This window comes from Homo sapiens, chromosome 8, assembly GCF_000001405.40.
Source record: "Homo sapiens chromosome 8, GRCh38.p14 Primary Assembly".
NCBI classification, from domain to species: domain Eukaryota; kingdom Metazoa; phylum Chordata; class Mammalia; order Primates; family Hominidae; genus Homo; species Homo sapiens.
In genome coordinates, this window is record NC_000008.11 from 65,626,799 (window position 1) to 65,643,515 (window position 16,717).

Consider the following 16,717-nt stretch of genomic DNA (forward strand, 5'->3'; position numbering starts at 1 on the left):
TCACTTGAGCTCAGGAGTTTGAGCCTGGCCAACATGGCGAAACCCTATCTCTACAAAATATCAAAAATTTGGCTGGCATGGTGGTGTGTGCCTATCATCCCAGCTACTTGGGAGGCTGAGGTCGGGGGGATGGTTTAAGCCCAGGAGGTGGAGATTGCAGTGAACTAAGATCCTGCCACAGTGTACTCCAGGCCTAGATGACTCAAAAAAAAAAAAATAAAGAATAAAAACAATGTAGCATGTTACCACTGGTGTAAACAGACCACAGACCACACATACATATGTTTGTACCTACATAAATACAAACAACTAATTGCTCTCTTTCCGTTTTTTTACCTTGTCATCTAGCACTTTTTCCAAATTCTCACCTTAACTGCAAAAATAGAACAGAGATTGAAATTACTAAAGGCAACTTACAAGCAAAGCGGAGTGGACGACTGGAGGGTTGGGATGGTCCATAAATAAAATAAGGCCAGGCAGACATCCCTGATCCTGGACGATGGCTCTTCTGTTTAACGGATCTGCTGCTAGATCCCGTAACTGGTTAACTACCGATAGAGCGTCAGGCTCTTCACTCATGGTGGAAGTGGAAGAATTCATCTTCTATGCCATGCACATGAATAAAATCTTAAATTCTGTAGAAAAGGTTTGCAGAATTAGTTCTAGGCTGCTGAGGTATATTATAGCACTTGTGAAATAACCAGGATTACAACACCTTTAGAAAGAATCAGGTAACTAAAACTAAATCACATAAAAACTTAGAAATCGGCAACTCTACAGTTTGAGAAAAGTAAAATGAACGTAAGACGACTGAAAAAATTTGTGTGCACAATGTTTAAAGAACATATGTTGTCCTCAATATTCCAATAAATTATGTTTTAGCACACATATTTTAACAATAAAATCACAATAAAGATCTTTACAGTTCAAGCTAGTAAGCTTTGCTATACTTCTAAAACTGTTAATATTGCCAGTGCTTTTTATCCTCTAGACTATTTCTAGCCCTAAAACAAGTGCCCGAGGGAAAAGTGGCTAGTTTACAGCTTTCTTATTCATCAGTGAACAAAAACCTAGCATACTCTGTCTACAAAGAATAAAATGCCCTTGGAAAAAGGAGGCAGAAGTCTGTAAATCAAGAAGACAGGAAAGGTATTTAGCCTGTGGCTCAGGCCAGTAGAGTGTGAAAGATCATAGTGAATCTACACTGAATCTAAATACCTCTGTCCATCTGATTATGCCATATTCTACTGCCTAACAGAAAAGCAAAAATAGGAAGAATGAAGTAGAATTTGACATAATTCATTTGCCAGATGAGGAGCTAGTCATAGAGAGGTTCAATAATTTGCCCCACATCACAAAATCTAGTTAGCATAGAACTGGCCTAAAATATTATTTACTATTTCCTAAACTCATCAGCAGTCTTTCCACTTTGCATACTTTGTTTTCCTTGTTTGTTTTGTTTGTTTTCTCCAAGACAGAGTCGCATTCTGTCACCCAGGCTGGAATGCAGTGGCACAACCTCAGCTCACTACAACCTCCGCCTCCCGGTTCAAGCAATTCTCCTGCCTCAGCCTCCTAGCCACGCCCGGCTAATTTTTTTTTTTTTTTTTTTTTTTTTTTGTATTTTTAGTAGAGACTAGGTTTCACCATGTTGGTCAGGCTGGTCTCAAACTCCTAACCTTAAATGATCTGCCCGCCTTGGCCTCCCAAAATGCTGGGATTACAGGCATGAGCCACCGTGTCCAGCCTCATACTTTCGTTTTAAAATCAGTATTTTGGCCCGGCATGGTGGCTCATGCCTGTAATCCCAGCACTTTGGGAGGCCGAGGCAGGCAGATCTCCTGAGGTCAGGAGTTCGAGATCAGCCTGGCCAACATGGTGAAACCCCATCTCTACTAAAAATACAAAATTAGCCGGGCATGGTGGCACGCACCTGTAATCCTAGCTACTCGGGAGGCTGAGGCAGGAGAATTTATTAAAGCCAGGAGGCAGAGATTGCAGTGAGCTGAGATTGTGCCACTGCATGAGCAAAACTCTGTCTCAAAACAAGCAAACAAAAAAAATCAGCATATCGGCCGGGTGCAGTGGCTCACGCCTGTAATCCCAGCACTTTGGGAGGCCAAGGCGGGTGGATCACCTGATGTCAGGAGTTCAAGACCAGCCTGGTCAACATGGTGAAACCCTGTCTCTACTAAAAATACAAAAATTAGCTGGGCTTGGTGGTGGGTGCCTGTAATCTCAGCTACTCAGGAGGCTGAGGCAGGGAGAACTGACTGAACCTGGGAAGCGGAGGTTGCAGTGAGCCGAGATTGCGCCATTGCACTACAGCCTGGATGACAGGGCGAGACTCCATCTCAAAAAAAAAAAAAAAGAAAGAAAGAAAATGTGATATACATACACAATGACACAAATGGAATACTATTCACCCTTAAAAAAGAAGGAAATTCTGTCACTTGTGACAACATGGACAGAACTGGAGAACATTGTGCTAAATGAAGTAAACTAGGCACAGAAAGAGAAATGCTGCATATTGTTGCTTAACTGTTGAATCTAAAACAATAGAACTCAGCAGCAGAGAACAGAATGGTGGTAAAAGGCTGGCAGATAGGCAAAATGAGGAGATGAGGATCAAGGGATACAAAGTCGTAGTAGGAATAAGTGAGGGTTTTTTTGACATCTATTGCACAAGATGGTGAATATAGTTAATAATAGTGTATTCCAGATGGGCGCGGTGGCTCACACCTATAATCCCAGCACTTTGGGAGGCCAAGGCAGGCGGATCATGAGGTCAGGAGTTCAAGACCAGCCTGACCATCGTGGTGAAACCCCGTCTCTACTAAAAGTACAAAAATTAGCTGGGCGTGCTGGCGGGCGCCTGTAATCCCAGCTACTCGGGAGGCTGAGGCAGGAGAATCGCTTGAACTTGGGAGATGGAGGTTACAGTGAGCCGAGATTGTACCACTGCACTCCAGCCTGGGCAACAGAGCAAGACTCCGTCTCAAAAAAAAAAAAAAAAAAAATCAAAACAAAACAGTATATTCTCGGTCTTAAAATGGCTATGAGTTGCCAGGGGTGGTGACTTATGCCTGTAATCCCAGCACTTTGGGAGGACAAAGCGGGTGGATCACCTGAAGTCAGGAGTTTGAGACCAGTCTGACCAATATGGTGAAACGTCATCTCTACTAAAAATACAAAAATTAGCCGGGCATGGTGGCGCAAACCTGGAATCCCAGCTACTTGGGAGGCTGAGGCCAGAGAACTGCTTGAACTCGGGAGGTGGAGGTTGCAGTGAGCCGAGATTGTGCCACTGCACTCCAGCCTGGGTGACAGAGCTAGACTGTCTCAAAAGCAAAACAGAAAAAAATCGCTGTGAGTAAATTTCAAGTGGTCTCACCACAAAAAATAAGTATAAGGTGATAGATATGTTAACTAGCTTGATTTAATTGCTCCACTTTATATTCATGAATCATAACATCATTTTGTACCCCATAAATATATACAACTATAAATTACCAATTTACAATAAAATGTTTTAAAATAAATCAGGGAAAAAAGAACCAAACACTCTGGGTGTTGGCCTTTTGCATACAACGCTGGCCTTGAAACTGAAGAGTTCCATTCTCATTCAAGGAGCCATTAGATAACTATTCAGTAGGAACTATACTGAAAAAAAGTTACATAGCTTTCCTGTTCCTTTGGGATGAATAAAAATCAAAACAACTAAAACTTCCAATCTTCAGCCAGGCGCAGTGGCTCACGCCTGTAATCCCAACACTTTGGGAGGCCAATGCAGCCGGATCGCCTGAGGTCAGGAGTTTGCGACCAGCCTGGCCAGCATGGTGAAACTCCGTCTCTACTAAAAATACAAAAATTAGCTGGGCATGGTGGTAGGTGCCTGTAATCTCAGCTACTTGGGAAGCTGAGGCAGGAGAATCGCTTGAACCCGGGAGGCGGAGGTTGCAGTGAGCCGAGATAGTGCCATTGCACTCCAGCCTGGGCAACAGTGCCAGACTCCGTCTAAAAAAAAAAATACAAACAAAAAACCTTCCAGTCTTCAAAGAGCACTGATAAGGATTGGGCTCAAATCAGCATCTGCACAGGATCCATCAAAGACCTTAGCTAATGCAGTTGGTGCTCTGTATCCACAGGTTTCAAATCCTGAGACTATTGTACAGTATTTTCGATTCATGCTTGGTTGAATCAGACAATGTCATGGGTTTACTGTATAACAGAGGCAGAAACTGTGGTCACTGCATTTCCCATGGCATTTAAAGGAAGGCAAGAAAAGCTGACAGAAGCTGTGATTTGTCCCTCAAATTAGAAGGGTTTTATGTAAAACTTCAGGAGAGAACTCCTCACAGTTAAGACTCATTTTTCTTACCTTGATATTCTTGATGATAACAAGTTACTCTGACATCCATTTCTAACTACCACATTGCCTGAATTTTTGGGGGGGAACAGGGTCTCACTCTGTCACCCAGGCTGGAGTGGCGTGGTACGATTTCGGCTTATCACAACCTCTGCCTCTCAGGTTCAAGCAATTCTCCTGCCTCAACCTCCCAAGTAGCTGGGACTACAGGTGCCTGCCACCATGCCCGGCTAATTTTTTATTTTTAGTAGAGACGGGGTTTCGCCGTGTTGGCCAGGCTGGTCTTGAACTCCTGACCTCAGGTGACCCACCCTCCTCGGCCTCCCAAAGTGCTGGGATTACAGGCGTGAGCCACCACGCCTGGCCATTGCTTGAATTCTGTTAAATGATCAATATTTCTGTGGATTGCAGCGTTCACAAAGCAGATTTTATGAGATAGCAATAGAACAGTTAGGAAACTGAAAACAGATAAACGAAAGTTACAACTCTAACCCCAATCATGTATTAGATACATATTATGTTTCTGTGTTAATTTCATCAACTTCACACACTCAAGCTGTTTGATAAAAATGTCCGCCTTTGCTGGGTGCAGTAACTCAGGAGGCTGAGGCAGGAGACTGGTTGAGGCCAGAGTTCAAGTCTACAGTGTGCTATGATCTTGCCTGTGAACAGCCACTTTACTACAGCATGGACAACATAGCAAGACCCTGTCTCTTAAAAAAAAAAAAAAAAAGTCTATCTTCATAGGTTGGAAAAAATGATTTTAAATGAATATTTCAGGATTCAGTCTATCCTACCCACTATATGCCCAATTTGGCAAAGTGCAAAATAATTTTTATTTTATTTTTAAGATAGGGTCTCGCTCTGTTGCCCAGGCTGGATGGCAGTGGCAGAGCCACTAAAACTTTATGCTGCTGTATAAATGCATCTCTTTTAAACATGGCTATGAACATATGAATAAAATGCTAAGCTCTAAAACTCTGTAAGATGGCCAGGTACCATGGCTCAGGCCGGTAATCCAAGCACTTTGGGAGGCCCAGGGGGGTGGATCTCTTGAGCCTAGAAGTTCAAGACCAGCCTGGGCAACATGGCAAAACCCCATCTCTACTAAAAATACAAAAGCTGAGGTGGGAGGATCACCTGAGCCTGGGAGCTCGACAGAGTGACAGCTCATCTCAAAATAATAATAATAATAATAAAATTTGGGAGGCCGAGGCGAGCGGATTACGAGGTCAGGTGATTGAGACCATCCTGGCTCACACAGTAAAACCCCGTCTCTACTAAAAATACAAAATATTAGCCAGGCGTGGTGGGGGGCACCTGTAGTCCCAGCTACTCGGGAGGCTGGGTCAGGAGAATGGCGTGAAACCGGGAGGCGGAACTTGCAGTGAGCCGAGATTGTGCCACTGCACTCCAGCCTGGGCAACAGAGCGAGATACCGTCTCAAAATAATAATAATAGTAATAATAAAATAAAACTCTACAAGACGCCGGGCACAGTGGCTCACGCCTGTAATCCCAGCACTTCGGGAGGCCAAGGCCTCTGGTACTCCAGGGGTTGAGGCAGGAGAATCGCTTGAACCCGGGAGGCGGAGGTTGCAGTGAGCCGGGATCGCATCACTGAACTCCAGCCTGAGCGACAGAGCGATACTCCGTCTCAAAAAAAAAAATAAAAAATAAAGACCATAGCCTCACTAACAAATGATGAAAATGTGAAAAGACTTTTTATACCTTTACTTTCTCTTGTTTAGTTCAACTTGGACAAACAAATCATTCTATGACAAAGAATACTTCTCATCGTTTAATGAGCACTCTGGTCAGTTAAAGGTTCCTGTTAAAAAGCAAATGCTGATTCAGTAGGTGGGAGAGTCTGAGATTCCGCATTTCCAACAAGCTTCCAGGTGAGGCCTATGCTACTTGTCACACTCTGAGAAGCAAGCAGTTAGAAGATACATGTGAGACACCTGTAATTAGGCAGATGCCTGCAAGATTTTTCCTTCTCGTACAGTCAAGATTCACCATTCAATTCAAAGATTTAATTCTCACATGCCAAGAGATGCAGAGGGAATACGTTTAACCTAAATCCTTATTCAGTTAGGTGGGCTTTGATAAAAATAACATAAGCATTGATATTAAATCTGACTTTCCCCTTACTCGAAGAGTTAACTGTAACTTTGAGAAGTTAAGTTCTTAGAGCCTCAGTTATCTCACATAACAATCCTCAGCGGTTATCAGATTAAAGTAAGAACGCGAAATGGTAAAATCAAACACCAGCAATTACCAAACCAGAATACTACTTGCTCATGTGGGGACATCTGTCCTGCCAGGTGTTGGAGGTACCTTCTGCACTGCCCTGACACTTCAGTGCACTAAGTATCACGAAAGGAGTTGCTAACTGCACGAATACCTACCCCCGCCCTCCCAAAACACAGTCTTAAATATAAAAATGGGAACACTGGTCTCTCTTGAATTAAGCCTAACACAACTATGTCTTTCCGCTCTTAGGAGACACGCAGGTGCACAAAACTAACAGAAAGTTACCAAAGAATAACCTGGAGAGATGAAAAGATGAGATGACACCCATTAATAATACTGGGGTTAGTAAAAGTCAGATGTGAGGGGGGACAAAGAAGAAATGAGCAAAGCTAACAGATTCACGGGACACGTGGGGGTAGAGCGTGCTAAAGCGCCTCACTGGGACCCACTACTGGATCTGACAAGAGGCAGGCGGGGCGCCCCTCCCAGGCGGATTCGCTGCCTCGGTACAGGGGCCGCTTCCCGCGGCCTTCCCGGCTCCACTGCTTTGTCTGCCGCCCGTGGACCCCACATACCGCTCCAGAGCTTTAGGAGTCCAGAGCCTGCCACACCATCAGGGCCACACCTACGGATGAGGTAGAGACCCAGGCGGCGCGGAGCGAGCCCTTCGGTTCGCAGCCCCGGCCGCGGCGATCGCAAGCAACCGGACTAACTCAGGGAGCCAAAGAGCGAAGGCGCTGGCGGGCAAAGGCTCTGCAGACTCTTCCCAGGTGACCTGACGCCTCTGTCGCTTATGCCCTCCTATTGGCTGATAATGAGTCCAACGTGAGGATAAAGTATCCAATCAGTGAAGGTCTTTTTAGAGTGAAGCGCTCATAGGTGGTTTAGGGAAATACACTAAGAGTCAAGGGACTGATCCAATGAGGACCCAGGAACACTATATTGGCCCTAACTACTCGCCGTCCACCAAGCCCTAACCGAAGAAATTTGATTCCGGCTGGGAAACTGTCACACCTTCACAACCTCAATACCCAGCTTTGTGGGGCCAGCAGGACTTCTCCGGTCCTGCATTCGGTAATTCAAATTGAGTATTTCTTTAGCAACTCTTGCAATTCTAATAAAGGCAATACCTAATATTTTATTCGCTTCTGTGAGTCTTAATTCATAAATTTTTTTTGTTTTGTGTTTTACTGTGGACGTTAGCACTACATTAGGCGTTCCTTGGATTTTCGTTTATTTCTTCTTGGTGTCCACTGTCTCCCTAGCAGCTTGAAAGACGCAAAGTACAGTTTTCGTTTAAGTAGCAATTTATTTTGGGGAAGAGGTTTTTTTTTTTTTCTTGTAAGGAATTTATTATCACAATCTTCTCAAATTCATATTTTAAAATATCTTCTATGTAGTTTATCAAAGTAAGGATTTATATACTTGTTTTATGGATGGCAATCACTTGAAGTTTTTGTTTAGGCATAGATTTTATTTTTTTTTTAATTTCTTTAAATACAAACCTACTCTTAACCCGCAGGCAGATCTTTGAGAATAATGTATCCATTGCAGTCAATAACCCCAATAAACAGATTCTGGATTCTCTCCATAACAGTTTGATTCGGCCACGTAGCTCATGTATTAAAGTCAGAAGGAATATGAGAGGCCTCTAATAGGAAAAGAGTGTGGATAACAATAAATATCCCAGATTGTATTCAATGCTAATATCTCCTATACTTCTTGAATTTAAAAACCAAGCAGCTACTTCTTGAATTTCTTTCCGTTCCCTTGTTCTCGGTTATCCTCTTGCTTCCAATGAACTCAAAATAGGAGCAAAATAAGCTAAGTAGAAAACAAATAGGCCGGGTGCGGTGGCTCACGCGTGTAATCCCAGCACTTTGGGAGGCCGAGGTGGGCGGATCACTTGAGGTCAGGATTTCGACACCAGCTTGGCCAACATGGTGAAACTCTGTCTCTACTAAAAACCAACCAACAAACAAACAAAACTAACCAGGCGTCGTTGCGGGCGCCTGTAATCCCAGCTACTTGGGAGGCTGAGGCAGGAGAATCGATTGAACCTGGGAGGCTGAGATTGCAGTTAGCCGAGATCACGCCACTGCACTCCAGCGTGGGCAACAGAGCGAGACGGTCTAAAAAAAAAAAAAAAAAAAGTCCAAAGGGCACAGCCAGGTTAAACATAACCCATTTGGTTGAGTTACTTTCTTCAGTATAGTTATTAAAAACAACTAAAAAAAAATCCCAGGAAATTAAACTTGCTATTTTTGTTAACGTTAATATATTAGGAAGGCAGGTACGGGGGCTCACGCCTGTAATCCCAGCACTTTGGGAGGCCGAGGTGGGTGGATCACCTGAGTTCAGGAGTTCGAGACTAGCCTGGCCAACATGGTGAAACCCCGTCTCTACTTTTTTTTTTTTTTTTTTTTTGAGACAGAATTTCTATCTTCCTGCCCAGGCTGGAGTACAATGGCGCAATCTCGGCTCACCGCAACCTCCGCCTCCCTAATTACAGGCATGCGCCACCACGCCCGGCTAATTTTTGTATTTTTAGTAGAGACGGAGTTTCTCCATGTTGGTCAGGCTGGCCTCTATCTCCTGACCTCAGGTGATCCGCCCGCCTCGGCCTCCCAAAGTGCTGGGGTTACAGGCGTGAGCCACCGCGCCCGGTCAGCCGTCCCTACTAAAAATACAAAAAATTAGCCTGGCGTGGTGGCGGGCGCCTGTAGTCCCAGCTACTCCGGAGGCTGAGGCAGGGGAATTGCTTGAACCCATGAGGCGGAGGTTCTAAGCCGAGGTCGTGCCACTGCACTCCAGTCTGGGAGACAGAGCGAGTCTCCGTCTCAAAATAAATAAATAAATAAATACTAAATATAATCATGCTTCTGCCATTATTGAGAAAAGTAATTCTTCCTGCACACTGCCATTACAGAATAGATGACTGCTATTAAGAAGCAGGGGGTGTGTTCACAAAAAAATAATTACCAGTTTCCTAAGCACCTATGGATTATAAGCCTTAGGGAGGTATTTAAAGATTTTAATAATCTGTATTCCCATATTAAAATGTCTAAACTTGGCCGGGCGTGGTGGCTCAAGCCTGTAATCCCAACACTTTGGGAGGCCGAGGCGGGCGGATCACAAGATCAGGAGATGGAGACCATCCTGGCTAACACGGTGAAACCCCGTCTCTACTAAAAATACAAAAAAAAAAAAAAATTAGCCGGTCGTGGTAGCAGGCGCCTGTAGTCCCAGCTGGAGGCTGAGGCAGGAGAATGGCGTGAACCCGGGAGGCGGAGCTTGCAGTGAACCGAGATCGCACCACTGCACTCCAGCCTGGGCGACAGAGCGAGACTCCGTCTCAAAAAAATAAAAAATGTCTAAGCTTGACACCAGTGAAGTTATACTACCTCCCATTGTGAGTCATTGCTTGTTCTTAGCCTCAGGTATCTTCCCACGGGACACTGGAATGTCGTTTCTCAGTAGCTGTGTTGCTTAAGACATGATTCAGATACTGGCAGTTTCATTCATTTAATTATTTAACAACCGGTTTTTGAACGCATACAATGTGCCATAGACAATCTTGACTATGGATTCAAAGGTAAGGAAAATCACAATCCCTGCCCTCAAGCAGCTCATGGTCTAAAGAGCTCAAGAAACAGTGGATTTCAAAACTTTTTGATCAGGCAACACTTTCAGCTTTATATATATGTATTCGAGTACATAGCTCTGACATATTTATATGTATTTATTCCTAAATTCTATACATGTACTATCAAATTAATATGTAGTTTTGAAAATGTCAAAGTAGAAATTTTTAAAGAAAGAGAAATATTTATAAATTGAAGCTCTCACTACCCATCCAGATGAAAATAAAATTGGATCCATATATTACATCATTTACCAAAAAAATAAATTCCAGGTGTATTAAAAACTCAAACCTTGAAGACTACATATATGACCTAGAAGCAGAGGGAAACCTTGAACAAAACTGGAAACCCAAAAGTTAAACAAGAAAAAAAATGGATACATTGGACTTGTTTTAAAAAGCAGCTGGCCAGGCGTGGCGGCTCACACCTGTAATTCCAGCACTTTGGGAGGCCGAGGTGGGTGGATCACTTGAGGTCAGGAGTTCCAGACAAGCCTGGCCGACAATGGCCAAACCCCGTCTCTGCTAAAAATACAAAAATTAGCCAGGCATGGTGGCACACGCCTGCAGTCCCAGCTACTTGGGAGGCTGAGGCAGGAGAATCACTTGAACCCGGGAGGCAGAGGTTGCAGTGAGCAGAGATCACACCATCGCACTCCAGCCTGGGTAGCAGAGCGAGACTCTGTCTCAAAAAAAGAAAAACAGCTCTATAGGTCAGGGTCAATCCCAAGAGCTGGTTTATAGAAAAGAATACCACAATCTCTGGAAAGTGGTGATCCTTTAACCTATTTGGATATAGATTTTTTTTTTTCTGGTCACTATGCACTGATCTAAGAAGAATTAAACTGTTTCAAGACTCAGAACAACCAAATATGCCCCAAAGTCTATGACTGAAACAAAATAGCTCAACAATTTTTCATTGGGCACCATGGTAAAAACATTCATTCAAATTGAGATTTAGATAATAAATGCAGATTAAAATGTTATCTTTTCCCAACAATATGTGCTTTTTTTTTTTCTTCTTTGAGATGGAGTCTTGCTCTGTCGCCCAGGCTGGAGTGCACTGGAGTGCAGTGGTGTGATCACGGCTTACTGCAACCTCTGCATTCTGGATTCAAGTGATTCTACTGCCTCAGCCTCCCGAGTAGCTGGGATTACGGCATGCACCACCACACCTGGCTACTTTTTACATTTTCAATAGGAATGGGGTTTCACCATATTGGCCAAGCTGGTCTCAAACTCCTGACCTCAGGTGATCTGCCCGCCTCGGCCTCCCAAAGTGCTGGGATTTTACAGGCGTGAGCCACCTCGCCCAGCCCAATATGTGCTTTTATTAGTAATTAAAGGAGCTTTGAAGTCAATGGGCACTGCATGCATCACTGACTCTTGCCTCAGGTGAGATGAAGTTGGCCCACTAACTGGTCTTGACCAGCTCTCCTGTAGCCCAGCCTCTCCCAGACACATCTAGCCTCACTGTGTCTCAAAGCACCCTTCAGAAGGGCACTTCACCGTCCTACCCAATAATCTTTTACCATCCATTCCTATATTCTAATGCAGAACCTCCTGAAGCTTATTTCAGTGTGTTACATTTTCTCCAGGGGGCAATTAGAGCTGGGGAAAGAAAAAACAGAACTAGAGGAAAAGGGTCTCAACTTCCAGGAAAGATCCTTTGTAAGCTTTGCAGATTATTCAACCTGTCTCAACAAATGGGGCTGTCATTAAGCCTTATATGAGAAACAGGCTGACATAGACATTGGTCTGTTCCTACTTTACTAACCACTGGATCGCAACCACCCAAGCTGACTATATATCCTACATGGTTATTATTTATTGGGCCCTTGAGCTAAACCAGGCACTCCCTTGAGCATTTGACAAATGTTACATAATCGGTCCTCAAGGCTACTCTTTGAGCCGTCTACTACTGCCACTGTGAAAGCCAAGAAATTGAGACCCTGGAAGGCTGACTGTCTTGCTCAAGACCACACTACTAGTCATTAGCAGAGGCATATTTCCAACAAGGGTCTGTCTGCCTCTGAAGCCCATATTCTTTCTACTACAGTATACTGCTTCATTGTCTACCAATATTAATGGGAATCTGATATTTTGTTAAATCTCTATGATGAAGGAAGCTCACAATCAGCCTTGGTCACCTTTCTTTTGCCTAATACATCTAACAATGAATAAATCTATTTGCCTAAATAATGGCATTTATAATCCTTTAATTTCCTACTCAGAATTCGGAGGCCCAAAAAAGATAAGGGACTTTTTCAAGGCCATACAGTGAGTAAGAGAGCTCTGTTTCTTTCTCTTCTATTCAATAAAAACTGCAAATGGCAGACGAAGTTTCAGTTATTCCAGATTCTGCCAAGAAAACTGAGCCCTTAACTTGGGTCAAGAACTCTAGGATCAAATACACTAAAAAGAAAAGTATTCTATTTTCTTCTCACATCCCCAAATGGATTGCCCTCTAATCTTCCACATTTGTTTCCAAAGCTAGCTATGCAGAACAATCATAGTTCTGCCGAATAGACCTGCAGATGTAGAGGCCTGGGCATACATAGTTTTAAACAGCTCCATTGTGAAATTTGAGAGCCACTGATCTTGTGGAGGAAACATAAATTGTATTAATTATCTAATGTGTCATTTGTATTTAATTTTATTTATTTAATTTAACTTAATTTAATTTTTGAGACAGAGTCTCATTCTGTCACCCAGGATGGAGTGCAATGTTGAGATCAGGGCTCACGGCAGCCTCAACCTCCCCAGGCTCAGGTGATCCTCCTACCTCAGCCTCCTGAGTAGCTGTGACTACAGATGCACACCACCACACCTGGCTACCTTATGTATATTTTTTCTTTTTTCTTTTTTTTTTTTTAAGACAGTGTCTTGCAAGGCCCCCTGGGCTGGAGTGCAATGGCGCAATCTTGGCTCACTGCAACCTCCGCCTCCTGGGTTCAAGTGATTCTCCTGCCTCAGCCTCCAGAGTAGCTGGGATTACAGGCGCCTGCCACCACGCCTGGCTAATTTTTTTTATTTTTAGTAGAGACAGGGTTTCACTATGTTGACCAGGCTGGTCTCAAATTCTTGAACTCAAGTGATCTACCTGCCTCAGCCTCCCCAAGTGCTGGGATTACAGGTGTGAGCCACGACACCGAGCCCTTACGTATATTTTTTTCTAGAGATGAGGTTTCACTATGTTGCCCAGGATGGTCTTGTACTCCTGGGCTCAAGCAATCCTCCCGCCTTGGCCTCCCGAAGTTCTGGGATTACAGGTGTGAGCCACCGTGCCCGTCCTGTATATCGCTTCCTAATACATTTCTACAAAAGTTGTCAACTTAACACAATAATAATTTACTAGCTTATAGTTTCTGTGCATCAGGCATCCATGTGCAGCTTAGCTGGGTGCCTCCGGCTCAGATCTCTCAAAAGGCTGCTATCAAGAGGTCAGCCAGGGCTTCAGTCATCTCAAGGGTTGAGTGAGAGAGGCTATTTTTCCAAGCTCGCCTCACATGGCCGTTAGTAGGACTCAGTTTCTCATAGCTGATGGAAGGAGAGCCTTAGTTCCTTGCTGAGTGTTGGTCAGAGGCTTCCCTCAGTTTCTTGCCACAGGGGCTTCTCCTTAGGGCAGCTCACATATGACATTGTCTTTCCTCAGAGCACGTGAAGGAGAGCTAGAAGGAGCAAACAGAATGAAAGCCACAATCTTTTTGTAACCTAACCTAGAAATGACATCCTTTCATTCTCGCTGTATTCTATTCACTAGAAGCAAGTCGATGCTCAAGGAGAGGGGATTATACAAGGGGCATGAATACCAGGAGTCAAGGATCACTGGGGGTCACCTTAGAGGCTGACTATCACAGAGATGTAAACAAAGAATTAAAAAACAAGGTGGTAATATATTTCCTAGCTCTGTCTTATAAGAGAAGCTAAATTCAACAATATCCTGGGCCTGGCATGGTGGCTCATGCCTGTAATCCCAGCATTTTGGGAGGCCAAGGCAGAAGGATCAGTTAAGCCCAGGAGTTTGAGGCCAGCCTAAGCAACACAGCAAGATGCCATCTCCATAAAAAATAAAATAAAATAATAAATTAAGTGATATCCCAGTAGCAATGAGATCATCCAGTACCTAAATCTTGGTTTCTAAATACCATTCCAGGACTCCTTGAAGAAATGGCTGATTTTAGGGCTGGGTAAGGAAAAATACAAGATAAGCACAGAGCATCTTATAGTTCCAGAAAAAAGGAGATAATCAAAAAACAAAAGGACCACATGAACCTAGTTAAAATAACTCCCAATGGCCAAAGCTGAAACAATTTGAGTAACAGTAAAAATCATAGTATACTTATGAAACAAAGTATAAAATAAATATACAAGAGTCTATATGTCTATATAAATAAATGATCGAATATAAATCAATAAATGAGGAAAGACAAATCTTCCTCACAGAATTCCAAATAAGGCTTATAGATTGTCCACTCCAGAAGTTGAAGTTTAATCCCCTGTTCCACTTGAGTGTGAGCAGTATTTAGTGACTTGTTTTCAAAGAAACGAATATGGAAAGTGGGAAAATACATCTTTATAGTGGAGTAACTAGCAAATATTACCATGTGTGAGCCTCACCAGTAATAAGGTGGGGTGATAGCATGTATCCTCTGACATAATGTGATGAGAAGGTCATCTCATCATGTGATGTTTTCCCCAAACCCTATAACCACAGTCTAATCATGAGAAAAACATCAGACAAACACAAATCGAGGGACGTTCTACAAAATACCTGACCAAACTTCAAAACTGTCATGGTCATATCAGGGTCATGAAAAACAAGAAAAGACTGAAAAACGGTCACAGATCAGAGGAGACTAAGGAGGCTTGATGACTAAATGCAGTGTGGCATCTTAGATTAGATCCTGAAACAGAAAAATAACCTTACTGAAACCCAAATGAGGTCTGGAGTTTAGTAAATAGTAATGTACCAATATTGGCTCTTTAGTTTTTTTGTTTTTTCCTTTTATTTATTTATTTATTTAAAAAATAGAGATGGGGTCTCACTTTATTGCTCAGGCTGGTCTTGAACTCTTGGGCTCAAATGATCCTCCCAGCTTGGCCTCCCAAAGTGTTAGGATTACAGGTGTGAGCCACCACGCCTGGCTGGCTCTTTAGTTTTGTAAGTGTATCATGGTAATGTAAGATGTTAACATTAGGGAAACTGGGTGAGGAGTAGACAGGAACTTTACGTACTCTTAACTTTTCTGTAAATCTAAAATAATTCTAAAGTAGTTAATTAAAAACAAAAAGCAAAGCATCCTGCTTACAATTTTAGAAGCGTGATGACCAGAAGATCTCCCCTAGATTAGCTTCTGGCTTAGTGCATTTCAAACTCTCTTTCTCTCTCTTTTTTTTTTTTTTTTTTTTTTTGAGGCAGAGTCTTGCTGTGTCACCCAGGCTGGAGTGTAGAGTGCAGTGGCGTGATCTCGGCCCACTGCAACCTCCGCCTCCCGGGTTCAAGCGATTCTCCTGCCTCAGCCTCCCGAGTAGCTGGGAACAGGCACCCGCCATGAAGCCCGGGTAATTTTTTTTTTTTTTTTTGTATTTTTAGCAGAGACAGGGTTTCACCATATTCGTCAGGCTGGTCTCGAACTTCTGACTTCAAATAATCCGCTCATTTCGGCCTCCCAAAGTGCTGGAATTATAGGCGTGAGCCACTGCGTCCAGCCCTTTTTTTTTTTTGAGACAGAGTCTCGCTTGGTCGCCCAGGCTGGTGTGCGTGGTCTCCGCTGACTGCAGCCTCTGCCTCCCGGGTTCATGCAATCCTCCTGCCTCAGCCTCCTGAGTAGCTGGGATTACAAGCACGTGCCACCACATTCAGCTTTTTTGTATTTTTGGCGGAGACGGGGCTTCACCATGTTAGCTAGGCTAGTCTCAAACTCCTGACCTCAAGTGATCCACCTGCCTCAGCCTCCCAAATTGCTGGGATTACAGGCATGCACCACCGCGCCTGGCCTCAAACTTTCTTTCTCCTCCACTAGCCACATACTTCTAGGGCCAGGTGCCAAGGGACCCATCCCTGTATCATAGCACTGAGTGAGTTGGCAGAGCATGTCTTGCTCGAAGCCAATCCAGCACCAGGAAAGACAGCAGTAACTTATCACGAAGTGGCCCAAGTTCAATTCAACTCTCTTTTCCCCACCTAGATCCCCAAAATGTCCAAGGCCACTCCAGCGTATCTAGCATGAAAGGAAGTATGAAGGAAGGGAAGTTGGAAAGGAAAAAAAAAAACAAAAAAGACAGGTCTTAACCCATGCCTCTTTGAGGGGTGCTTTAAGACATTTTCCTTTTAATAAATAAGTAGGAAACAACATATAATCTCGTAAACTCGATGCTAAAGTTCCTCTATGGACTTTGGAAAGGCTGGCGAAAGCCAGCGTGCCTGAAACACAAGCTTCATTAGCT

General features: G+C 43.6%; 1 protein-coding gene across 5 annotated transcripts in view, besides 6 other annotated features; it reads right to left on the reverse strand.

The window, feature by feature from the left end:
• ARMC1 (armadillo repeat containing 1) overlaps positions 1–7,379 on the reverse strand; it is a 31,720-nt gene extending 24,341 nt beyond the window's left edge. For 3 of the 5 annotated variants that reach the window (NM_001286702.2, XM_005251264.3, NM_018120.6), the window contains exons 1-2: positions 7,200–7,379; positions 418–635 (exon numbers count right to left, since the gene is read on the reverse strand). In NM_001286702.2, coding sequence (NP_001273631.1) covers positions 418–484 — 67 coding nt within the window. In that variant the 5' untranslated portion in view covers positions 485–635; positions 7,200–7,379. Of the gene's footprint in view, positions 1–417; positions 636–6,099; positions 7,128–7,199 lie in introns of those variants that run through there. The other 2 variants (XM_047421927.1, XM_047421926.1) reach the window with 2 other exon arrangements.
• Positions 7,020–7,269: an enhancer, noted in NCBI's record as "active region_27458". NCBI's record gives its function as "activates an Ori minimal core promoter by ATAC-STARR-seq in GM12878 lymphoblastoid cells {active_cell/tissue: GM12878}" and the evidence as "EXISTENCE:reporter gene assay evidence [ECO:0000049][PMID:35858748]".
• Positions 7,020–7,834: a biological region, named in NCBI's record as "NANOG-H3K27ac hESC enhancer GRCh37_chr8:66546245-66546867".
• Positions 7,212–7,834: an enhancer, noted in NCBI's record as "NANOG-H3K27ac hESC enhancer chr8:66546245-66546867 (GRCh37/hg19 assembly coordinates)". NCBI's record gives its function as "activates a minimal SCP1, AML or CMV promoter by ChIP-STARR-seq in primed H9 embryonic stem cells {active_cell/tissue: H9 hESC(primed)}" and the evidence as "EXISTENCE:reporter gene assay evidence [ECO:0000049][PMID:30033119]".
• Positions 7,280–7,329: an enhancer, noted in NCBI's record as "active region_27459". NCBI's record gives its function as "activates an Ori minimal core promoter by ATAC-STARR-seq in GM12878 lymphoblastoid cells {active_cell/tissue: GM12878}" and the evidence as "EXISTENCE:reporter gene assay evidence [ECO:0000049][PMID:35858748]".
• Positions 7,660–7,719: an enhancer, noted in NCBI's record as "active region_27460". NCBI's record gives its function as "activates an Ori minimal core promoter by ATAC-STARR-seq in GM12878 lymphoblastoid cells {active_cell/tissue: GM12878}" and the evidence as "EXISTENCE:reporter gene assay evidence [ECO:0000049][PMID:35858748]".
• Positions 14,965–15,024: an enhancer, noted in NCBI's record as "active region_27461". NCBI's record gives its function as "activates an Ori minimal core promoter by ATAC-STARR-seq in GM12878 lymphoblastoid cells {active_cell/tissue: GM12878}" and the evidence as "EXISTENCE:reporter gene assay evidence [ECO:0000049][PMID:35858748]".